Below are 23,377 nucleotides of genomic sequence, written 5' to 3' on the forward strand. Positions count from 1 at the left end.
GAGCAAGGTTATAGGCAGAAAAGTCAATATATATTTAAAAATTCTATTTTTATACTAGTCATAAGTGGAAAATTAAATTTAAAAAACAATTACATTTACAATAGCATTAAAAAAATATTCAGGAATAAATTTAACAAAAGATGTACAAGATGTCTATGTTAAAAACCATAAAATACTGCTCAGAGAAATTAAAGAAGGCCCAAGTAGATAAAGAGACATATGTTTGTGTATTAGAAGACTCAATGTTGTTAAGATGTCATTTCTCCCCAAATTGATTTATAGTTTCAAGGGAATTCTAATCAAAATACAACAGTTTTATTTGTAGACATGTACAAGTTAATACAAAAATGTGTATGGAAAAGCAATGAACTTACAAGAGTCAAGACAATCTTGAAAAATAATAAAGGTGAAGGATTAATATCTAATATCATAAAGCTACATTAAAAATATACCATTTTATGGTATATTAAAAATATCTTCTGGTTTCTTTTGTGTGTTATGCCACACCAACTTAGCTACATTTATGACTTTCAATATCATAATTATGATATTAGATACTATGATATTAGGTACCAATACCATGATACTGGTGTCAGGATACCATATAGACACATAGACTGTGGTTGTCTACAGGAAAAGGATAAGGAAGGTATTGACTAGAAGGGCAAGTGAGAAAACTCCTGGAGTGATGACAATGTCCTATATGGTGCTGTGGCTAGATCCACAGATACACAGAATATACACTGATTAAAACTCAAAGTACATATGTAAAATCTGTGCATTTAACTATGTGTGAATTTCGCATCAATAAGAAAAACAAGAAGGCACACTGGTTTTTGTGTTTCCTTTGTCTTCATAAACATAGACAATCTGCCAAAATGCATCACAAAGCTGAGGTTATTTTTTTTTTTTTTTTCTTTTTGAGATAGAGTATCACTTTGTCGCCCAGGCTGGAGTGCAGTGGTGTGACAGCCTCGACCTCCCAAGCTCAAGCAATCTTGCTATGCTACCCAGGCTGAGAAGATCACTTCTTATAAGAAAGAATCCATTCCCTATTTGGTATAGCTAGAAGGCTAACTACTTTTGGGTAACACATAAATATCCCCGAATTTTTTAATTTTACAGTAATTTATTCAAATTTGTGAACAACATAAAACAAGGTTTATGCCAGAGAAATGAGCACCATATCATTGTTGAAAAGAAACTGGATGACCCAAATTTTATAAAACTAAGTTTTCAGTCCTTTCTAGAGAAGTTTAACCCTATTATGATGGCTTTATTTTTTCATTCACATTAACATCAGTTTATAAAATCAACACAAAATAAATATCTAATAAGTCTTTAAGCACTACGATAGCAAAATTTAAATCTGAAGGAAATTTTAATACTTAGTTCACAATCTTTTCCCTTAATTTGTAAGTAAAGTGGTTTAGCTTACATTTCCTTCTCCATTTCAAGTTGTTTACTCAATTCTGTGGCTCTGAGCTCTAAATCTGTGTTCAGCTGTCTTTGCTGTTGTAGATCTTGCAAAGCCTGCTCCTTGCTTGCTTTAACTTCAAGACTATCAGCTTCTAGTTTCTATGAAAGAAATATGATATGGCAGCCATTTTAATATTAGTAATTATCAATCTATTATTAAATACTATAACATTTTTGTTTATATTCAAACAGGTGTGACATACAAAAAAAAATTTATTATAATAAAAAACATATTCTGAAACCATTACTAAGGGTGTTATTTATTTTAAAATCTTTCAGAAGACCCAGCAGAAAGCTTTATACATGATAGACTGCCACTAAGTGTTGGTGTTTAAAATTAATTCTGGGCTGGGCGCGGTGGCTCACACCTGTAATCCCAGCACCTTGGGAGGCAGAGGCAGGCAGATCACTTGAGGTCAGAAGTTCGAGACCAGCCTGGCCAACATGGTGAAACCTTATCTCTACTAAAAAAAAAAAAAAAAAAAAAATTAGCCAGGCGTGGTGGCCGGTGCCTGAAGTCCCAGCTACTCAAGACGCCGAGGCAGGAGAACGGCTTGAACCTGGGAGGCAGAGGTTGCAGCGAGCTGAGATCGCACCACTACACTCCAGCCTGGGCAACAGAATGAGACTCCATCTCAAAAAAAAAAAAAATTAATTCTGAATGAAACAATCAACTTAAAAGAAACATAGAAACATAAATAGTTATTATCTCAGTAAAAGTTATTAACTCAAGTATGAAAAAATAAGTTAACAGGTTCACTGATCTACTCACTTAAAACATATTATCTTTTATAGTCACAGTTAAAAACACTGATGTAATTATAAGATATTTAAAACTAAAATGAAGTTCTCACGTACTCCTTCTCATTAACACCTATTGATCCTAAATATAAAGCCAATTAAGTTCCTGATTTTGCTTCTTTAATCTCTTGGACTAGATGACATTGTTGTTCTTCAGAATATAGTTTGCATCTCACATGTATACATGTAATTATGTGTGTATTTTTACAAACTTACAAAATCAAACTGTTGAATATAAGTTTGAAAAGCTTTACACAATGCATTTCCTTGCAGTGGTAGTGATTTTGCACACTAAATATTTTATAAACTGATTGGTATCTGTAGCCCTTACCATTGACCTACACTGAAAATATTCATTAAATAAAAGATATTTGATGTAGCTAAATTAATTATACATGTCTATATAAAAAATATGATACTCCCTAAAATGATAATTACAAAGTGTTAGAGCTGATAATCACAATAAAAACTCAGTTCTAAATAACCACTATTTTTAATAGGTACCCAAAAAGAATTCTCATTAGACACTTTTCAGTAAAATAATACTTCTGTTATTTTTAACCATGCCTAAAGTACCTTGCCTTTGCTATTATCGTTTGTCATAAAGAAAAAGGAACCTATAAACAGAATTGTAAATGTAATTATTCCCCCATACTATATTGGTATGTATGTACATATATTCATTTCATGACTCTAAACTTATACACACACGCTTCACCGGGTTGAGGAAGTATAAGTTACATATATAGTAACTTGAGAAGTTTTTGTTTAACTGATAGTAGCTCAATTTTTAAAAATTTTTTTTTTTTTTATTTTTAGCCAAAGGCAGTTAAGCAGCAAGCGGTTCTAATTTGAAGGACACAAAAACTCAGGTCAAATCCTTCTGAGATGTCTAATCATCTTATCTCTTCAGTAAATCAACACATTCATATGGAGTTGTGTTAAAGTAAGATACAGTTTATCATAGTCTCAATGTGTTTTTAAATTAGAAGCAAAATCCAAAGGGTATAAAGTTCTAAAAAGGAAAAGTCTACCATATCTGAAATGTGATATTGGAGTAAGTTGGTAAGAGATGGAAGAATGAAGGAACAGAAGAGACTTCACAACAAAAAATTGAGAAGTTCCTTGTAATGGTAGAGTAGATACCTGGTTATCTGTCTTTGGAAAAAGTAACACATTACAATGGAATCAGTATGTAAGTTGACTGTCATTTATAAAAGATGCTCATTAAGGGAGACATTAAAAATAAAGATAGAATTCAAACTTAAGACATGAAAAATTACAAGCAATTTTTTAAAAATTTTATACCACAACTTCACCTTTCTTTGTTAACTAAAAATCTTTGATTCCATGTAGGTCATGAGATTCCATTGCTACTGAAGTAGAAAATATGACTAAATTCAACTTCTTTTATACAAACCTTAATTTGACCTTCTAGCTCTTCGGTTTTCTGTTCTAAAGAGAGGTATTTCTCTTTATATTCTTTAAGATGACTTTCCAGCTGACTGCAATGTTCTTGCTTGTCTTGTAACTTTGCAGTGACCTGATCCAACTGAGTAGTAATCTTATTTAACTCCTTTAGAAAAGTACAATTGAAGAAAACTTTGGTAAGGTTTACTATATTGTAGTGGCCAAATGTTCAACGTAAAATTGAAAACTCTAATTTTATTTAAAAAAATATTTGGAGTAAGAGCTCAGATAAATCTAATGATATATCAGAGGCTATACTTACCTACCAATATAAACGACATGAACTAAATTCTTGCATAGTCTGAGATCCTAAGTTTATATGTATAACAGTTTAATAACTTTTCAATGTTTATCTAGGAAGAATTATTTTAGGAGCCAAATATTAGCCAGGCTAATAATAAAATAACACTTTTATATTATAATTAAATATTTTCAATGTTCAAGACACCAATTTTTAAAACTATTTTTTAAAAATATTACAGTGTTTACATTTATGATGCTTTTCAATTCATTTGGAATATCCAGTTGCACAAAAAAAAAAAAATAAAATAAAAATTACTAGTAAATCTACTATGTACCAAAAGTAGGACACATACCAAATTTAACAGCAAACATTCCATTCAAATGGGCTTTTCATAAAGGGTAAATATAGAAAACTGTTTTGTTCTGTTTTTTAACTTGATATACTTCTGTATTGTTTTTTAAAAAATGGACCAATAAAGCCAGGTGCGGTGGCTCACACCTATAATCCCAGCACTTTGGGAGGCCAAGGTGGGTGAATCACCTGAAGTCGGAGTTTGAGACCAGCCTGACCAACATGGTGAAACCCTGTCTCTACTAAAAATACAAAATTAGCCAGGCACGGTGGCACATGCTTGTAATCCCAGCTACTTGGGAGGCTGAGGCAGGAGAATTGCTTGAACCCGGCAGGTGGAGGTTTCAGTGAGCCAAGATTACACCATTGCGCTCCAACCTGGGTAACAAGAGCAAAAAACTCCATCTAAAAAAAAAAAAGACCAATAACTAATATTACTCCCTGAATAACAAGTAAATTTTAAAAATTTCTACCAGTAAAAGCTAAGAAAAATCTACCAGCAACATTCACCGTGACCCTAAAGTAGGATGCTTCTATTCTACCAGAGTATCGCTTCTGTATTCCCTCCAGCTCCTCACTTCCTCCTATTACCAAGAAAGGAGTAACTCTTATAACTGAGGTAGAATATACAGTGTTCTTTTCCTGTTTCCAAGTGGCAAGTACATTTGGGTCATGGTCCAGTCTACCTACTAAAAACAAATGTGGTGGTCTGCCCCATCCAATCACCAACACTTGAAGGGATGGGGCAACAATTCAAAAGTTAGGAGGAAACATTACTGCTCTACACCAAGGTCTAGGCTAGGGGAGAAGGACAATATCAGGAAACCAACCACACCTGCACACTAGTAGAAATTTATCAAAAACAAAGCTGTTATTTTTATCTCCATCTATGTGACCCCCACTTTTACTACTCAACTGGAACTCATGGAGAAATTAAGGGGGATAAGCAAGTCTATCACAAGATTATACAAAACTGGGTATCATCTTTACATGTTTGCAATTTATTTATCTACCAAAGCACTAGGTGATAGTATGAAATTGCATCTGTTTCCCTACCTGCTGTTTATCTTGTAATGCATTTTGAGCTGTGTCCAAATGATTCTGAAGATCAGCTCTTTGAGCAGTTTTTGCTGCTTCTGCTGATAGTAATAGTTCGGTTTTGGCTTTAATCTGTAACAGCATTTACAAATTATTTAATTTATATTTAGTTCTTGATTTCCTCTTGCTTGAACGCACACTCCTTTTGTGACTAAACAAACTATTTAAAAATTAAGTCCTTGGCAAAAACATATGGATTTATATATTGAAAAATATGTATGTGAAAATCGCCAAAATAGGAATGATAGGGGAGAAGACTCCTAATAATGCTGGATAAATAATAAAAAGATATCCTCATGTGATTCCAAAACACTTTAGTATTCCTTTGCTAAGAAAGAAAAGGTACACTTTTTTTCCAAAAAAGGCCACTGTATTTTCAGAAGTGAGTATCTGAAAGTCTACCACTATTATGATAAAGTAAATAACCATGCCCCAAAAAATGATTACTCCGAAGATAATCAAGAATTACAGAATTCAATGACTCAAAACAGCCAGACAACTGGCACTTTGTAAAATTCAGTATTCCCTGATAACTTCTCACTTAAAGGGTTTTATTTTTGAAGCTCACAGTCAAAATATTAAATATTAAAAATTCAAGGCTGCCAATAAAATCAAACAAGCAAAAAGATCTATCTTGTTATCAAAAGTAACACCTTTAAGTGTTGGAATACCTTTAGTACAACTCACCTCGAATACGAAAAGCAAAAAATAGGCCAAGTGCGGTGGCTCACACCTGTAATCCCAGCACTTTGGGAGGCCAAGGCAGGCAGATCACAAGGTCAAGCGATCGAGACTATCCTGGCCAATGTGGTGAAACCCCATCTCTACTAAAAATACAAAAATTAGCTGGGCATGGTGGCATGCACCTGTAGTCACAGCTACTCAGGAGGCTGAGGCAGAAGAATCACTTGAACCTGGGAGGTGGAGGCTGCAGTGAGCTGAGATCGCGCCACTGCACTCCAGCCTGGCGACAGAGCAAGACTCTGTCTCAGAAAAAAAGAAAGAAAGAAAGAAAAGCAAAAAAGAAAATATATATGTAAAAACATGTATTTAAAATTAACATATTTTGAGAAAACAGTAAAAATGGGGGGTGCATTCTTTTAGCTGGTTGAAGAGAGGATCAATGAACATAAGAAATCTAAGATTTACATTGTATGGATAATTACAAGCTGAAGGAAAAATTCAAATAATTTTTTCTCAATATCAAAATACTTAATTTTCACAGAAATAATAGTTACATCAAGGTATATACATTTACATTGATTTAAAGGTGAAAACTAAAGAAATCTTCCCTTTAAACAACACATAGTAAATCTATACTGATGAATATATAGCATAGACTACAAATATATTTTTGCAGAAGTCAGCTTTATTTACATACGGCATTTCATCTATCTGAGGAACCAAAAACTCATGAAATATTTTAACATATGATAATCACTCATGATCTTTTTTATACAGCATGCTTCAACTAATGTAATATATGTATATTCCAAAATCATGTAGCATATAAAGAAAGTTTGGGGGAAATTAAGTAATTGCTCCACTAGTTTGCCTTATTTTAGAAAGGCTTCTGATGGGGGGCGGGGGGGGAAATGTGGCTATTCATATAGCCAGCCCCTCTGTTTGCCCTTTTTATAGGCAATGACTAAGTACCAATTACTACAAGGCTACAATTGTTGCAACTTTTGCATTAAAGCCCTTAAAACAGTAAAAGCAGTGAAGTGCCCTCATACATGTGCATAATAATGTACCTTGATGCTGTCCTGATCATGCACACAAGGAAGTACCGTGGAAGTAGAGATCAAAAGGTGTATTATGGAACTTTAAACTGAGAAACAGCTTAAAAGCCTCATTTGTATAGTTAAAGGGACACTCCAGAAAAAAACATTACCTTAACAGTTAAGCTACAGCTGGCTACAGCTAATACCCTTTGGCTAAGCACTTTTGGTTGACATTCTTTTATTAATAATATCACTTAAAGCACTAGGTTTTTCTCAGAGTCCTAATTCTCAAAAGAAAAGTAAGGCCATACATCCTACTTTATGAACTAACACTAGCTCATAAAGAAGTTAAAGTAGTTTTGAAAAAAGCCTCAAAAACTTAAAAAATATCTACAGGTAATATTTTTCAGAGTAATGGCAAAGAAGAAGTTACTGTCAAGGTGATAATGGGAGCAATGATAGTAACAAAAAAATGGGCTGATCTCATTGCTGGAACTAGTTCTGAAATGAATAGCAGTGGAAGAGCAATATTTTGTAAAGGAAAGGAGCTTACAATGCAGAAAGAATCACAGACTGCCCTAATATATTAGTTCATTCACATTGTCACTAGACTCCCATTCCCTCCTCATTCCCCTCCCCCTTATATTTGACATCCACATAACAGGTTATCTATCATATAACTCATCTAGCAAATAATTTTTTAAAAAAGAAAGAAATGTATATTCTCTCCAAGTTCTAGTAAGTATGCCAGTTATATTATTATATTCCGTCTTTCCAGTGGAATCATTATCTTACAGTAAAATCAAGCCTTGAACTATTTCTATAAATTTCTATTCTATATCATAGAATAAGAAATCAATAGTAAGAATGGAGAAAAAATTATGTCTTACTGCTTACCCCATGATTGACTCATTGAGGAAGACTGCTATATAGAATTCTGAAAGAATACGGCACCATGTAAGGGAATTTTTTTTTTAATCAGAAGTCAGACTTTTAAAGGAAGATTTAAAAAATCAAAGTCAAAAAAATATTTAGCATAGAAATCTAATGGTATAATATCTAACTAATTTGAATGTAAAAAACAATCATGGCATGATCAAAACAAGGAAAATCTAAAAGATTTAGTGATTTCACTAGGTGTAGCTTGAGGACAGAGAGAGCGCACCTGAGAGCAAGAGCCAGAGACAGAGAGACAGAGACAGAGAGAGAGAGGGAGAGGAGAAAGGAAGAGTGAGAGGAAGGCAGAAGGGAGGAGGGAGGGAGAGACAGAGAGGGGGAGCAGGGGAGAAAGTCAAACAGGAAAGTTCAACAAATTATCTAGATATAGCCTTTATCTAATTCTTATTTCAAATTTTTTTCAATTAATATGCAAGGTAAAAAGAGATAGAAACAGAATTTAAAACATTTGACGGTCTAAAACTGGTGCTTTACACAAACATTAAATTTAATATTACCTGTATGTCAAGCTGGGAGACCTTCTCCTTGCTTTCATTTAATTGACTATTTAATTCATTGACACTAGTTTCTAGGGAAAGGACACGGTCTTGTGCAGCTCTAAGATGTGCCTTCTGCTCTTGTACCTGGTCATGCAAATTCTCCTGGGCTTGTTTATGACTTTCTGACTGATTCTTCAGCTTCTCTGTTAGTTGAGTTACCTGTTATACAAGTAAGACTAATCGTGAAGTTCACAAATGACATAACAAAAATTCAGAAACCTAAATTTAAGAACCATGAGAATATTAAAGTGCTTTATGATAGTTTATCTCAAAATTTTTCAAGTAAAATTATTCACTTGCCAAAATATGTCAACATAGTATCTCAAATACCAAGAAATAACATTAAATTCAAAGACTGATATTACTTTTAAAATTATTGAGCTGTAAGTTATATAAAATTCATTCAATTTAAGTTGTACAATTTGAGATTTGATGAATGCATACACTTATTTAACTAGCCATCACCACAATCAAGATAAAGAACATTTCCATTAGCCCAGAATGTTTCCTCATGCCCTTCTGCAGTCATTCCTCCCATCCCATCTCTAACTCCAGCCAATCACTGATTTGGTTAAGTAATAAGTTTTCTTTATATATTCTGGGCATTTCTGAATTGTCAGATACACATACTGCAAATGTTTTCTCCCATTCTGTGTTACGGCTTTTATTTTCATAATGGTATCTTTTGAAAAGCATACTTTTTTTTAATTTAGATGAAATCCAAGTCATTTGATATTTCTTTGATGTACCTTGCTTTTGAGTTCACCAAGCTTTTTGACCATGTTTTTAACCAAAAATTAAAGTTTTTTCATTTGCATCCATTGAAATTTTAAAAATTAAAATTTTTTCAGCCAGTTTCTATTTTCCTCCTCCCCACCCTTCTGTGACATTAATTGTACTTATGCTAGCTTACATAATACTATCCCATGGGTCACTAAGGTACTGTGTTTTTTTCCCCATCCTTTTTTCCCTCTGTACTTCATTGTGAACAGTTTCAACTGCCTTGTCTTTTACGTTCACTGATATTGCTTTCTACTTGCTTAATCTATTAAGTACATCCAATAAAATTTTCATTTCACGTTATTTTTGTTTTATCTCTAAAAGTTCAATTATTTTTATTTTTTTTTTACCATTTCTGTTTTTTTTTAAGAGACAGGGTCTCACTCCGTCACCCAGGCTGGAGTGCAGTAGCACAGTGATAGCTCACTCCCAGGCTCAAGTGATCCTTTCACTTCAGCCTCTAGAGTAGCTGGGATTACAGGCACAAGTTACTGCACCCAGCCATTTCCACTGCTATCTCCATCATTATAGTTTTTTGTTTCTATCCATAAGCATATTTGAAGAGCTGTTTTAAAGTACTTGTCTGGTGACTCCATCATCTCTTACTTCAGGGTCTGTTCCCACTGAATAATTTCTCTCCTCGTCATGGCTCACATTGTTTCTGTTTCTTCACATGTGTAGTAATCTTTTACTATTTATTGTGACCACTCTCGATTTTGTTGTCTTCTTTCAAAGAATGTTTTGTCCCAGCACATATTTAATATTTTTGTGGTTCTACTGGATCCTTTTAAGGTCTTTTTTACACTTCGTAAGGTCAGGTGTATGGCAGCTTTTACTCTAGGGTTAGTTTAGCCTTACTGCCCTCCTAAGGTATGACATTTCTGATATGTCTACTGAATACTCCAAGTGTTCAACCACATCTTTCTTCTGATTGGCTGGAACCTGAACATCTTCCAGCCCTGTATAAGCACTAGTAATTTTTCAGCCTGTAGCTCCTTGATAGTATTCATTGGCCTCATAGAATCCCACTTTACAAGTACAAAACTTGGCATTGAACAAAGCCTCAAGTGAATTCCTAAGCAGATTTCTGAAGCTTTTTCTCTGTACTGCTCCTTCCTTTCTGGTATCCTACCCTACAAATTCGATCTGCCTTAACCTCCCTGAACTTCAGTCTCTCAATTTAATTTAATATCTCACATCCTCGGTTCAATAAGACCACCAGGCTTTCCTTAGATTCCCCCAAGCGGTGCCACAGTCTGGAAAATGTCTCTGGATCAAAAGTTAGTGTGGTCAAAGAGTTCATGTCACTTGCTTCTCTTCTCTCAGGGATCACAGTCCTGCACTGCCTATTGTCCAATGTCTGAAAACAGTAGTCTTGTACATTTTTTCCACTTTTCTTGGTGTTTATGGTAGAAGGGCTAAATAGGTATTAACTATCCCAATATGGCCAGAAACAGATTTATTTTAATTTATTCTTTAAAATGAATGCAGGGCTTCCTGACCATATTTATATGATAAGCAACATCAAGTTGTATACAACTAAAAACTAACCTAAAGAATTCTTCAAAACTAACTTTGAAATTTGGGGGGAAATCTGTTATATTCTAATTCTAAAATTAGAAAAGTGATATGGCTTTCTGATACTTTGTTTTAAATATTTTCTCATTTAGATAATAACTCTCTTATTACACAATTCTTCCAAAAAAGCAACTGTAAATTCTTTTTTGTTTGAAAATGTATTTATCTAAATTTTATAAACTTTTCCTAAACTACATTTTAATGCTGGAACATTAAGGCAACTTATCAAAATTATTATTGGCTATACATGATGCAAAGACATATACTTTATCAAAATATGTTACTGTTAAGTCTGTATATTAATCAATACACAGTAAAAACTAACACTTGATTAATATCTTCAATTTATGAATACATTTCATTATTCTTTTTTCTAAACATCACAAAATGCCATTAGGCAAGCATGCACTATTAATATTTCTGTTTTTCCAGTGAGCTAATAATGTAAAATGATTTATTCATAGTCACACTAACTTACATCCAGGGACATGAACTGAGAAATTTTCCTTTGTCAAATCATGTTAACTAACTTTCACTACAATAGTAACCTACCTCTTAAGGTACATGAGATGCTATTTGGCAAAAAATATATAACACTTAAAATGTGCTAAAAAGAGCAAGAATGAAGAATCATTTAAATAAAGCACTTAGTAAGACTTAGAGAGACAGAAGTAAATTTTACAAATATAATATATTTTACAAGCTTACTTGCTCCTGTAGTGTATGGTTTTTTTCTTGTAACTGGTTAAGAACAGCAGTCTCTCCTTCACCAGCCTGAATTTTTGCATAAAGATCTTCTCTTTCTTTTTCTAGTAATGAAATATTTTCTTTACTCTTCTGTAATAAAGCTTCAAGGTTCTGGATCTTTTGGTCCTTATCGCCAATTTGACGTAGAACTTGTTCCAAATCATTCTGTAAAGAATTGAAAACTACTACTTTAAGAATAGAGAACTTAAAAAGTTATTCCTCAAACATAAAATGACTAATAATAAATTCTATCACTCAAATACTCAGTCTTACATTTTTTAAAACTATTACATTTCAATATGGTAAATTTAGTTAAGTACTTAGAACTATATATTTAATAATATAAATCTATATCATTATAAGCTAGAATTTAACAAAAAACTCTCACTTAACCACGTTTTTTTTCTAACACTCTAATATGACCTCCTGCTACTACTCTTTTTCTGACCCTGATTTCAGACACATGAGACTCAATCTCATACTAGGCACACTCCCACTTCAAAGCCTTAGTGTACCAACTGTTCCTTTTGCCTGGAACTCTTCCCCCACAGAGTCATATAGTTTACTCCCCGTTCAACTGTTTGTTCAAACATCACCTTCTTAATTAGGACTACTCTGACCATTCCATTTAAAATTTCAGCCTTTCCCAATATTCCCTATCTTGGTTATCATTTTCTTTCCATAGCGCTTACTTTCCAACACACTAAATAATTTGCTTACATTGTCATGCTTATCTGCCTCACTCCAACCACCCCCCATTAAAATGTATACTCTAAAAAGGATTTTTGTGTCTCAGTCATTGATATATCCAAGATATCTGACACATGTTCTAAAAAAGTCACTGAATGAATAGAAAAATAAATGATTCCACTCTAAATCACATATACCCGCAGGCTCACTTCAATACCCCAAAAGAACTCTTCCATCGATATAGCAAGAGATCCCTCTTCTTTTACTTTCACACCACTCTGCTGACACAGACCCAGCAACCATGTGGTACTCTCATGATTTGTGCCAATATTAAAATATTTGAGATCAGTCACTTTCAAGCATACTTCTCATCCTTCTAAGCTTTGGTCAAATGACAAAAGGCAACCAAACCTCTCTGCCTCTCAGTCTCTGTTCCTGCCACCGATAGATAACTCCTCTCTCTACATTCCACTAATCTGGAATCAGAATTCCAGGCCTAAGCTTCTTTCCATAAAAGTCACTCTGAGGGAGGGGAACATCACACACCGGAGCCTGTTGGGGGTTGGGGGCAAGGAGAGGGAGAGCATTAGAGCAAATACCTAATGCATGCGGGGCTTAAAACCTAGACGACAGGTTGATGGATGCAGAAAACCACCATGGTACATGTGTAACTATGTAACAAACCTGCTCATTCTGCACAAGTATCCCAGAGCTTAAAGTATATATATATATATATATACACACACACACACATATATATATGTAAAGTCACACTGTTTTCAAACCTTAACTGAAATTTGATTCTCCCTTTACAGATGCCAATTCTCCCTCACCCCTCACCCTGCCCTGGTCGGTAATGTCTATTCCACTGGGCAAGTAGAGGAGGGTTACCTTTTCCTGGTATTTCACTGCCATTACTCTCTCTCTCATGTGAAAGCTTCGTGCTGCTCTGGGGAGTATGCCATTTACTTATTCTACTCTCTACTTTTTGTTGCTATCATCTATTAAATCCCTACCTCATTCACTGAAGACTTGAGACCTGATTTAGTCTTTCTCTCAATCCCAATTTCTGCCAATTTCCTGGGAAATACAAAATACATAGATAATTAAGAGCATAGCCTCAACATTTATATCATCTTAATTACTGGACCTTTACTCATTCCACATTTCACCCCCTCATATAGGATTTGTAACCACCTGAAATTCTTCCAGCTAGAAATTTCTAACTATCCTACTGTATGACCACAACTTACTGCCTTCCAATTTAATGACCTAATTTCTGTTATTCAATGTCAGAGACGTCAATTTCCTTCTAACGTATTCAGCATATGCCTAGCTTTTCTTCCTGAACTTCCTGTGTAGATACGAACTAACCTTAACTATTCTTTCAACCACATTGTCCATTTCCTTTCACCCAAAAATTTCCAAAAGCCACTCCCAAAATAGCCCAATTCTCCATTCCTTTACTTCTAAGCACTGTAAAATCACAAAGTAAAATCACAAAGCTCCATAGATCGACGCTACTACAAATTTCTGGTTCCGGTTTCAACCTCCATCACAGTATATACTCAGAATTATCTTGTCAATCTTTTTATTTGAATGAGGTCCTCACCCTCAAACATTCCCCTCAATAACGACTTAAAAGATTCCATATTATCTCTACATTCTCAATCTCTGCTTGCCTGATTTTCAGCTCTTACTATCTCCAACTTTATCAAGAAACATGAGATTTTCAGGAATGATCAATCTTTATTTTCCAAAAATAATTTTATATAAAATTATATATGTATATATAATTACATACACATATAATTAATTAGAACCATGTTTAATAATATAAATCTATATTATTATAAACTCGAATTTAACAAAAAAACCTTCAATTAACCACATTCTTTTTCTAATGCTCTAAACTCATCTCCTACTACTCTTCTTCTGATCCATGAGACATATATATATATACATATAACTACATATACATATAATTATATATATAGATATATGGAGCTATGTATATATACCCCACTCCATATTTTCCTCCTTTCCTCAAGCTTCAGTGGATGAGTTCCATTTCACCCTCCCCCATTGTATCCGTTACCTCGTAGCTTCTTAACAATACCTTATTCCCTCAGTTGCCTCTCCCCCAATATCCTTAATAACTCCCTCCCTATGAATCCCTTTGTCCTAGACTACAGACATGTCCAGGTCTCTCGTATTCTCAAAAACATTCCCCATGACACATCCCTCTCCAGTTTCTGTCCAGTGTTTAAACAATTCACATTTACATTTCAAAAATAATTTATATTTACATTCCTAATTCCCTCATCTCTCATTTACTCATTAATCGACAATCAGATTTTCATCTCTATTACTTTACTGAAATTATGTTTAGCAACATTATCAATTTACTTCTTAATTGCTTACTCTAATTGGTATTTTTCATTTATCATACTGAGCATCGCCACCACACAAACCCACATTTGAAGGTGCTGATTACCCCCAACTTTCGACCCTTCCTATTCCTTTGGCTTCCATCTGCAGGTTATTCTTAATTACTCTGATCATTCTCACTCTTCCTTGGGCTGCTCTTCTTCTACCCAGTCATCACTTAAGGGGTGGTGTTTCTCAGAAGTCTTATGTAACCAATTACCTATTTTTCTCACTATGCTCTCTCTTCTGGCTGATCACATCTACTCTAATAATTCCATTTACTTCATATATTCTGATGTCTCTCTCGGTTAACATATATAGCACGATTCCCTCCTCCGAGCTTTAAATTAATATTAAATATATCGCGCTGGTGCCTCAAGACACATCCTAAACTGAACACACCACATTCCCCTATGAGATGGCCATTTGTCTCACATTCACTAACACAGCTGATGACACCTCCACTTACCATGCATCCACCGCTACCAACCTGGAAGTCATTCCCCTTCTCCCTCATCCCTTTTATCTATTAAGTCAACCAGTGCTGTTTATTTATTTTACCTCCTAAGTATTTCTCACATTTGTCTGTATGACTTCAACAACTGCTTGAACTAAGACCATTATTATTTTTCATCTGAACTGCTGCATATATTAGTCTTTTAACTCATTTCATTCCAGAATATTCCCACCCAAATCCATCTTTCACACATCGACAAGAATATTCTATTTAAAAAGCAAATCTGACTATGGCAATTCTTTCTTAAGACCTTCAATACCTTTCCATCTTCAAAATCTTTCCATCTTGAAATATAAATGTCATGTGAGATCTGCTATAAACTTACCCATATCTAATGCTCTGACTTCTTTAAGTAATCTCTAACTTACACTTTAAGGTCCAGCAAAACCTAAGAGTTTAGTTCACACTAGCTTCAGTATCCTTTATCCTTGTAACTTCTATCTGGAGTAAACTTCTCACTACCACCATCTTTGCACCCCAGAAATATCTACTCATCCTTTGTGCTCAGATTGTCACTTTTAAAAAGTTTTCCATGGCTGCTCCTTTCCAGACTCTGTTTGGTTTAGGTAACTATTCTCTATGCTACCATAACAATTTTATATACAGATACACACCTAGAACTAGACTCATTACATCTGTTAGTTGTGAGGACTTTTCATGTTTCCATAATGAGGGACTTTGCCTGGCCCCTCTTTCATCCTTTCTGTATTCCTCCCCAGGGAATAAGAATTTAAACTTATTGGAAAGTGCAGAATAAGAAACAAATAACCATGTTCAACTGAGTCCCTGCTGTTCCCTCAGTTTGAGAGACAACCTGTCTGCAAAAGGGTGAAAGGCTGCCATTTCTAGCTTTGTGGCTAAATTAATAAAGTTAATTCTGGGTACAGTGTAAGAAAGCCCACTTGGCTGCTGACTTATACCAAATTCTTCACACTTGCTTTACTATTGACATTTCTTCCTTGACCTTTACAATAAAGCTCCTAGAGTTATCTATATTCACTCTATCAAACTTTTTTCTTCCCATTCTCTCTTGAACCCCCTCCAATCAGGCTTTTGTCTCACTTCTTTATGCAAATCACCCTAATCAAGGTCATCAATGACCTCCATATTGCCAAATCCAGTGGGATTCTCCATCTTCATTTTGTCTGGTCTCCATCCTTCCAAATGCCCAGACTAAAATCCTTGGAGTCACCCTTGAGTTCTCTCTCAATACTCTACAATAAATCAGTCAGCTTTACCTTTAAAGCATAACTAGAATCTGACTTCTCACTACCACTCTAATCCAAGCTACATCATTTCTTGTCTGGATTATTGTAGTAGCCTTTTAGCTAATTTCTATGCTTCTACTTATGTACCTATACAGTCTACTCTCAACACATCAGCCAGAATAATTCTGTGAAATCATAAGTCAAATCATTTCACCGCTTTGCTCAGAACCCTCCAGTGGTTTTTCAACTTAACTCAAAGTAAAATAAAGTCCTTAAAATTACCTATGAGGAACTGGAGGTTCTGATCTCCTGTGAGCTCTATGACCTGCCCTTTTTAACTCTTCTAACACTCTCCCATCCAGCCCTGACTTCCCGTTATTCTTGAGACATGCTCCTGCCTCTGGACCATTTAACATACTAATGTTCTTCTCTCTGAATCACAGGCTCCTCCTTCCTTCAGGTCTTTCATCTTTTCAAAGAGGCCTAACACTGCAGTCCCAACTCTGGCCTCCCCAAAACACTTCCAACTCCCCATCCCTCCTTCCTTCATCTTTATAGCACTTATCACCATTTAACATGCTATATGTTTTGCCTATTTACCTTGATTATCCTTGCCTCTCTCACTAAGCTCCATGAGAGCAGATATTTTTGTCTGTTTTGTTCACTGCTATGTTCACAAAATCAGTTCCTTGGCTGAGACTAGAAGTTAATAAATGTTTTTTGACTAACTGAATAAAGAACAAATAAATGAATCCAGTATTTTGATCTCTATCCATCTGACTCCCATGCCACTCTCCAAACTCAGAAGAGAAGGGCATATTATTTATTGCCTCCCTCAAACTGCAATATTGTTTCTACATATATATCATTAGATTGCCATCTCCTAGAGGGCAAGCACTCTGTCTAGTCACAGTGCTGAGCACAGTGATTAATGAAAGAATGAATTAAAGCCGGGTGCAGTGGCTCATGCCTGTAATCCCAGCACTTTGGGAGGATGAGGCAGGCGGAGCATGAGGTCGGGAGGACGAGGCAGGCGGAGCATGAGGTCAGGAGATCGAGACCATCCTGGCTAACACGGTGAAACCCCATCTCTACTAAAAACACAAAAAATTAGCCGGGCACGGTGGCGGACGCCTGTAGTCCCAGCTACTACCCGGGAGGCTGAGGCAGGAGAATGGTGTGAACCCAGGAGGCGGAGCTTGCAGTGAGCCGAGATAGCGCCACTGCACTCCAGCTCCAGCCTGGGCGAAAGAGCAACACTCCGTCTCAAAAAAAAAAAAAAGAATGAATTAAAAAATATCAAAGTCAAATTCACTTCAGCATTTGGGCAACCTCCCCTTACCATAACAAAATGAAAACTTCTTTCAATATTCTAAGGTATGCTGCAGACTTTGTATAAATTTAACCCAAACAATTATATTTTCTACACCTACAATTCCAGTGTTCAGATTATGGTTATAAAGCAGGAAAAGAAATGACCAACAAATACTAAGTTCTACTGAAGGAAATACAAAATATTCTTCTTTACTGGGCTAATGATGCCAGAAAATTTTATTTGAACATTTTTCATTTTCCAAATACTGTATTTTAGTCAATAATAAACAATAATGAATAAATTATTTATAAGTAATTTAAATAAATGTATTTAACTAAACTGATTTAATAGATAAATCTAATAAATTTAAGTAAATTAATATATAAAATATAATAAATACATAATAAATTAGTTTATAATAAATATTTTACATTATGTTGGAAAAACTTTTCAACATAGTAATCAAAAGAAAAATAATTTTCTGATTATCCAGACTTCAAAGTTATCAAAATCCCTCACAATCAAGTATTTTGTACTTTCTAGTTTTACCACAACAAAAGGATAATGATTTGGATTAATTAATTTTATTTTTTCTCTTATATTCTATGTAATGGTAATTAATTTGTGTTTACAAGGCTAATAACGCAACTAATGTTTACCTGAGCTTCTCGAAGTTTTGCCGTGGTGCTTTGCTGAAGAGCCTGTTGTTCTTGATGCTGTTGCTTTGTTTTATCTAATTGATGCTGCAATTCTGTAGAATTTGTAACTTTTTCCTTCAACTTAAAAAAATGTAGATTGTCAATTGAGAACTTAAAGGCATAATGCTATCATTCATAAGTATCTGGCATTACTTCAATTCTCAAGTCTGAACAGAACAAAAAATTCAGGAATATATAAGATAAACTTTAAAAGTGGTACCTTGGCTGGGCACAGTGGCTCATGCCTGTAATCCCAGCACTTTGGGAGGCCAAGATGGGCGAATCACAAGGTCAGGAGTTCGAAACCAGCCTGGCCAATATGGTGAAACCCTGTCTCTACTAAAAAAAAAAAATACAAAAATTAGCCGGGCATGGTGGCAGATGCCTGTAGTCCCAGCTACTCAGGAGGCTGAGGCAGGAGAATCACTTGAACCTGAAAGGCAGAGGTCGCAGTGAGCCGAGATTGCGCCACTGCACTCCAGCCTGGGTGACAGAAAGAGACTCCGTCTCAAAAAAAAAAAAAAAAAGAAAAGAAAAAAAGCAGTACCTCATTACTTACAGAATCTTAATCTCATGTTAAAGAAAGTATTTTCTATAAATAGGCTTATCCTAAAAAAACTTTCTCCAGGCTGGCATTTAGTTTATTATTTTTTTGTAAACTAGTATGATCAAGGAATTAATTACATATAAATTATTTTTAACAATAATTTAAACCACATATCAGTATTTCTTTTATTTTTTTCCTTAATAGTCATAATTATCACTTATTGGAAAAGAATAGGATCATCTACCACATCTAAGATTTTAGGTCTAGAAGAAAATCTATTGCTGAAGCTACAGATTTTATCGTAGAATATGTGTTTAATTCTGGCCAGTTGTGGTGGCTCACACCCGTAATCCCAGCACTTTGGGAGGCCGAGGCAGGCAAATCACTTGAGGTCAGGAGTTCAAGACCAGCCTGGCCAACATGGTAAAACCCTGTCTCTACCAAAAAATATAAATATTAGCTGGGCGTAGTGGCGCACATCTGTAGTCCCTACTGGGGAGACTGAGGTGGGATAATTGCTTGAACCCAGGAGGCGGACGTTGCAGTGAGCCGAGATCAAGCCATTACACTCCAGCCAGGGTGACAGAGTGAGACCCTGTCTCAAAAACAAATAAAATTAAATTAAAAATTAAAAACTTAAAAATAAAAAAGTGTGTTTAATTGCAATAAAGATGCAATTTAATAACTTTTACTTTATATTACAGGCATCATTTATGGCAACTGCAAGTCTAATGAGGGACAGCATTCAAATATATGCTTAATTTTTAAAAGCAAAAATCTTTAAATGGAAACTCAAAGTTTATATATACCAACTACATGTCATTAACGATCTTTACCAACAATTCATAGTTTACTGTTTCATTAGGAAGTAGTCCTTCCTGAGTAGGAAGACTCTAGCAGCCTGATGGGTTCACCCCCAGAATTTTTCCTGCCTAAACCTGAAAGAGTAGTTTTCCTTGTGCATTTCTGTTGAGAACTTTAGGGAATACAATTACAACAAAATGACTTAATGTAGTTAATAAGCAAGATGTTGCTATTGGAGAGCAATAAATTTGCACTTTAAAAAGTCCAATTAAAGCTTTGACAATTAACAGATTGATGAATCATAATCATGTTAAAGATGCCTCAAGCCTATCAATAAATTGAAAATGCTAGCTTACCTGCTCTTCTAACCGAGAAAGTTTGAGTTGTAAATCAGCCACTTGTTGTTCTTTATCCATCAACTTTTCACTTGAAAGCTGTCTCTGTTCCTTCAGCCTACCATGAGCTTCCCCTAGTTGGCGCTCTGTCTCCAGAAGTTTGCTATGTAACTTTAAAAAAAGAAAAAAAAATGTATGTACATATGTACAAACACACACACAGCACCACCTACTTTCCAAACAATGTTTTACTTTTCACCAAAATAAGTACAATATCTTAATTTTCGTGATACTTTGGGGAAACCTAAGATTTTATACAGTAATTTTAACTGCAACTGAATTTTAATCATATATTATAATGAATCACATAAAATTATCGTTAAACATCACAATTTTTGTTTTTGTGTTATGTTACTGCTCTCTTAAAACAAATGCAGGTTCTTGTTTGGATATAAGTGTTGGAACTTTCAGGAACTTAAAAGAATAAAATACAACTTAAAAATTAAGACACTTAGTACACACTCAGATCTATTTTACAGTATTGTTTAAAGTTCCACAGTGATTCTTGTTGGTTTTCCATAGCCAAGAACTACTACAGTTAACTTTTTACATTTGGGTATTGGATAGTGCCCAGTGCATTCCCAAGTCCTCATACTGGCACATAATTTCTAAATAAAATACAGGAAATGATCATATATATAGATATATATATGTGTACATATATATATCATATATATATATATATGGTGACCCTCATTCATTAACTTTACAAATGCCACCCAATTAAAACTAAGGGAGTTAAGAACCATCACGAGTAGTCCACCCTGTTATACATACCCTATCCTAACAGCAAATCAGTGTTCCTTCCTACCTCTTACAACACTTTCCTGCCACTAGTTCGCTCTCACTAATCCCTCTGGCTGTGAGACACATCTGCTTTCGAACTGCCACCTGTCAAAACCTATCCGATATTCCCAATTCCAAGTACCACCTCCTCTCTCTAACACAAAGATTTCCTGATCACATAAATGGATTAAAAATTACAACAGCTGAAGTACTAAGAGGGGGAACAAAAGAAAGAAACTCTTCCAATTTCCCATAATATACAGAATCCTTTTATTATAATTCTCATAATCTTTGGTATGATAGATAGTACTTGCCTTATCCTCTCCATGATATTTACACAATTATTAAAGGTAGGTACTGTCTCTTACTCATTTATGTATCCCCTAGTAAATGAGGGATGTGTCTTTTAGAAAGCATAAACGCAGCCAGGCACAGTGGCTCAGGCCTGTAATCCCAGCTACTCAGGAGGCTGTGGCAGGAGAATCGCTTGAACCCGGGCGGCAGAGGTTGCAGTGAGCTGAAATCTCGCCACTGCACTCCAGCCTAGGCAACAAAGTGAGATTCCATCTCAAAAGAAAAGAAAAAGAAAAAAAGAAAGCATAAATGCTAAATTTGTTTATCTGAACTAAAACTCAAATATGTAAGTTAGTTTAAGTTATTCATTGATATCCCCATGGCTCAGTTTCCTTCCACTATGAATGCTTATATTTATTCATTCATTCACTCACTAAAACATAGGCAGATTAACAAGCAAAATGCTGGCTGGGCGCGGTGGCTCATGCCTGTAATCCTAGCACTTTGGGAGGCTGAGGAGGGTGGACTGTCTGAGCTCAAGAGTTCGAGACCAGCCTGGGCAACATGGTGAAACCCCATATCTACTGAAATACAGAAAGTCAGTCAGGTGTGGTAGCATGTGCCTGAAGTCCCGGCTACTCAGGAGGCTGAGGCACGAGAATTGCTTGGACCCGGAAAATGGAGGTTGCAATGAGCCGAGATCATGCCACTGCACTCCAGCCTGGGTGACAAAGTGAAACTCTGTCTTAAAAAAAAAAAAAAAAAACAAAAAACAAGCCAAATGCCAGGCAGTAAAAATAAAAAATGAGTAAGAGATGGTCTTTGCACCCGAAGAGTTCAGAGTCTATTAAAGAAAGACATAAATTATGATAATAAACTATATTATGGTATAAGTAAAATATTAAAGATATGTACATGCTTAAGCTATCTTGGGTGTGGGGAAGCAGTGGCATGTTTAGAAAGGATTTTTAGGGAGAGTGTGGGGGGGGCGGGTGAGGGTTGAAAAATTACCTGTTGGGTACAATGGTTACTATACGGGCAATGGGTACACTAACAGTCCAGACTTCAACATTACACAACACATACATGCAAGAAATCTGCACTTTTACCCCCTAAATATATTTTTTAAATTTTTTCAAATATTTAACTTTTATTTTAGGTTCAGGGATACATGTGCAGGTTTGTTATATAGGTAAATTACGTGTCACAGGGGTTTGGTGTACAGATTATTTCATTACCTAGGTAATAAACATAGTACCCAATAGGCAGTTTTTCGATCCTCACCCTCCTCCCACCTTCCACCCTCAAGCAGGTCTGGCTGTCTGTTGTTCCCTTCTTTGTGTCCATATGTATTTAATATTTAGCTCCCACTTTTAAGTGAGAACATGTGGTATTTGATTTTCTGTTCCTATATTAGCTCGCTTAGGACAATGGCCTCCAGCTCCATCCACATTGCTATAAGGAGCATGATCTTGTTCCCTAAAAAAAAAAATTATAAAAAGTGACAAGTGAAGTAAATAGTATCTATCAAGGTGAAGAGGAATAAAAAGAATATTTCAGGTCAAGAAGACAGACTGAATGATACAACAAAAGCAAGACACAGCACACATGTAGGAAAAAACTAAAGACACTTCCATATTCTTGCAGTGAAGAATAAGGAAAAGAAGGGTAAATTGCTGAGGAGGTGAGCCAACAAGATCACTATGGATAGTGCATGTCATAACAAGGGACCTCAACTTAATCCATTAGGCCATAAAGAGTTATTAATGGGCTTAAAGCATGGTTGGAACATGGTAAGATTTGCCTTTAATATAGATTACTCTGATGCCTATATAAAGAATCAATTTGTCAGGGGCAAGAAGGAAGGCAGATCAGTTAACGGTTGTTACAGTGGTTTAAGAGTGAGACAAGGAGGACAGGGCCAG

General features: G+C 35.2%; 1 protein-coding gene across 2 annotated transcripts in view; it reads right to left on the reverse strand.

The window, feature by feature from the left end:
* The window catches only part of EEA1 (early endosome antigen 1), a 158,659-nt gene that overhangs the window by 36,942 nt on the left and 98,340 nt on the right, over positions 1 to 23,377 (reverse strand). For both annotated transcript variants that reach the window (NM_003566.4, XM_011538814.3), the window contains 7 exons: positions 20,334 to 20,483; positions 18,588 to 18,707; positions 11,730 to 11,933; positions 8,622 to 8,822; positions 5,402 to 5,515; positions 3,701 to 3,856; positions 1,439 to 1,578 (listed from right to left, as the gene is read on the reverse strand). In NM_003566.4, coding sequence (NP_003557.3) covers positions 1,439 to 1,578; positions 3,701 to 3,856; positions 5,402 to 5,515; positions 8,622 to 8,822; positions 11,730 to 11,933; positions 18,588 to 18,707; positions 20,334 to 20,483 — 1,085 coding nt within the window. The remainder of the gene's footprint in view (positions 1 to 1,438; positions 1,579 to 3,700; positions 3,857 to 5,401; positions 5,516 to 8,621; positions 8,823 to 11,729; positions 11,934 to 18,587; positions 18,708 to 20,333; positions 20,484 to 23,377) is intronic.

The sequence above is a fragment of the Homo sapiens genome, chromosome 12 (genome assembly GCF_000001405.40).
Source record: "Homo sapiens chromosome 12, GRCh38.p14 Primary Assembly".
Taxonomy (NCBI): Eukaryota; Metazoa; Chordata; class Mammalia; order Primates; family Hominidae; genus Homo; species Homo sapiens.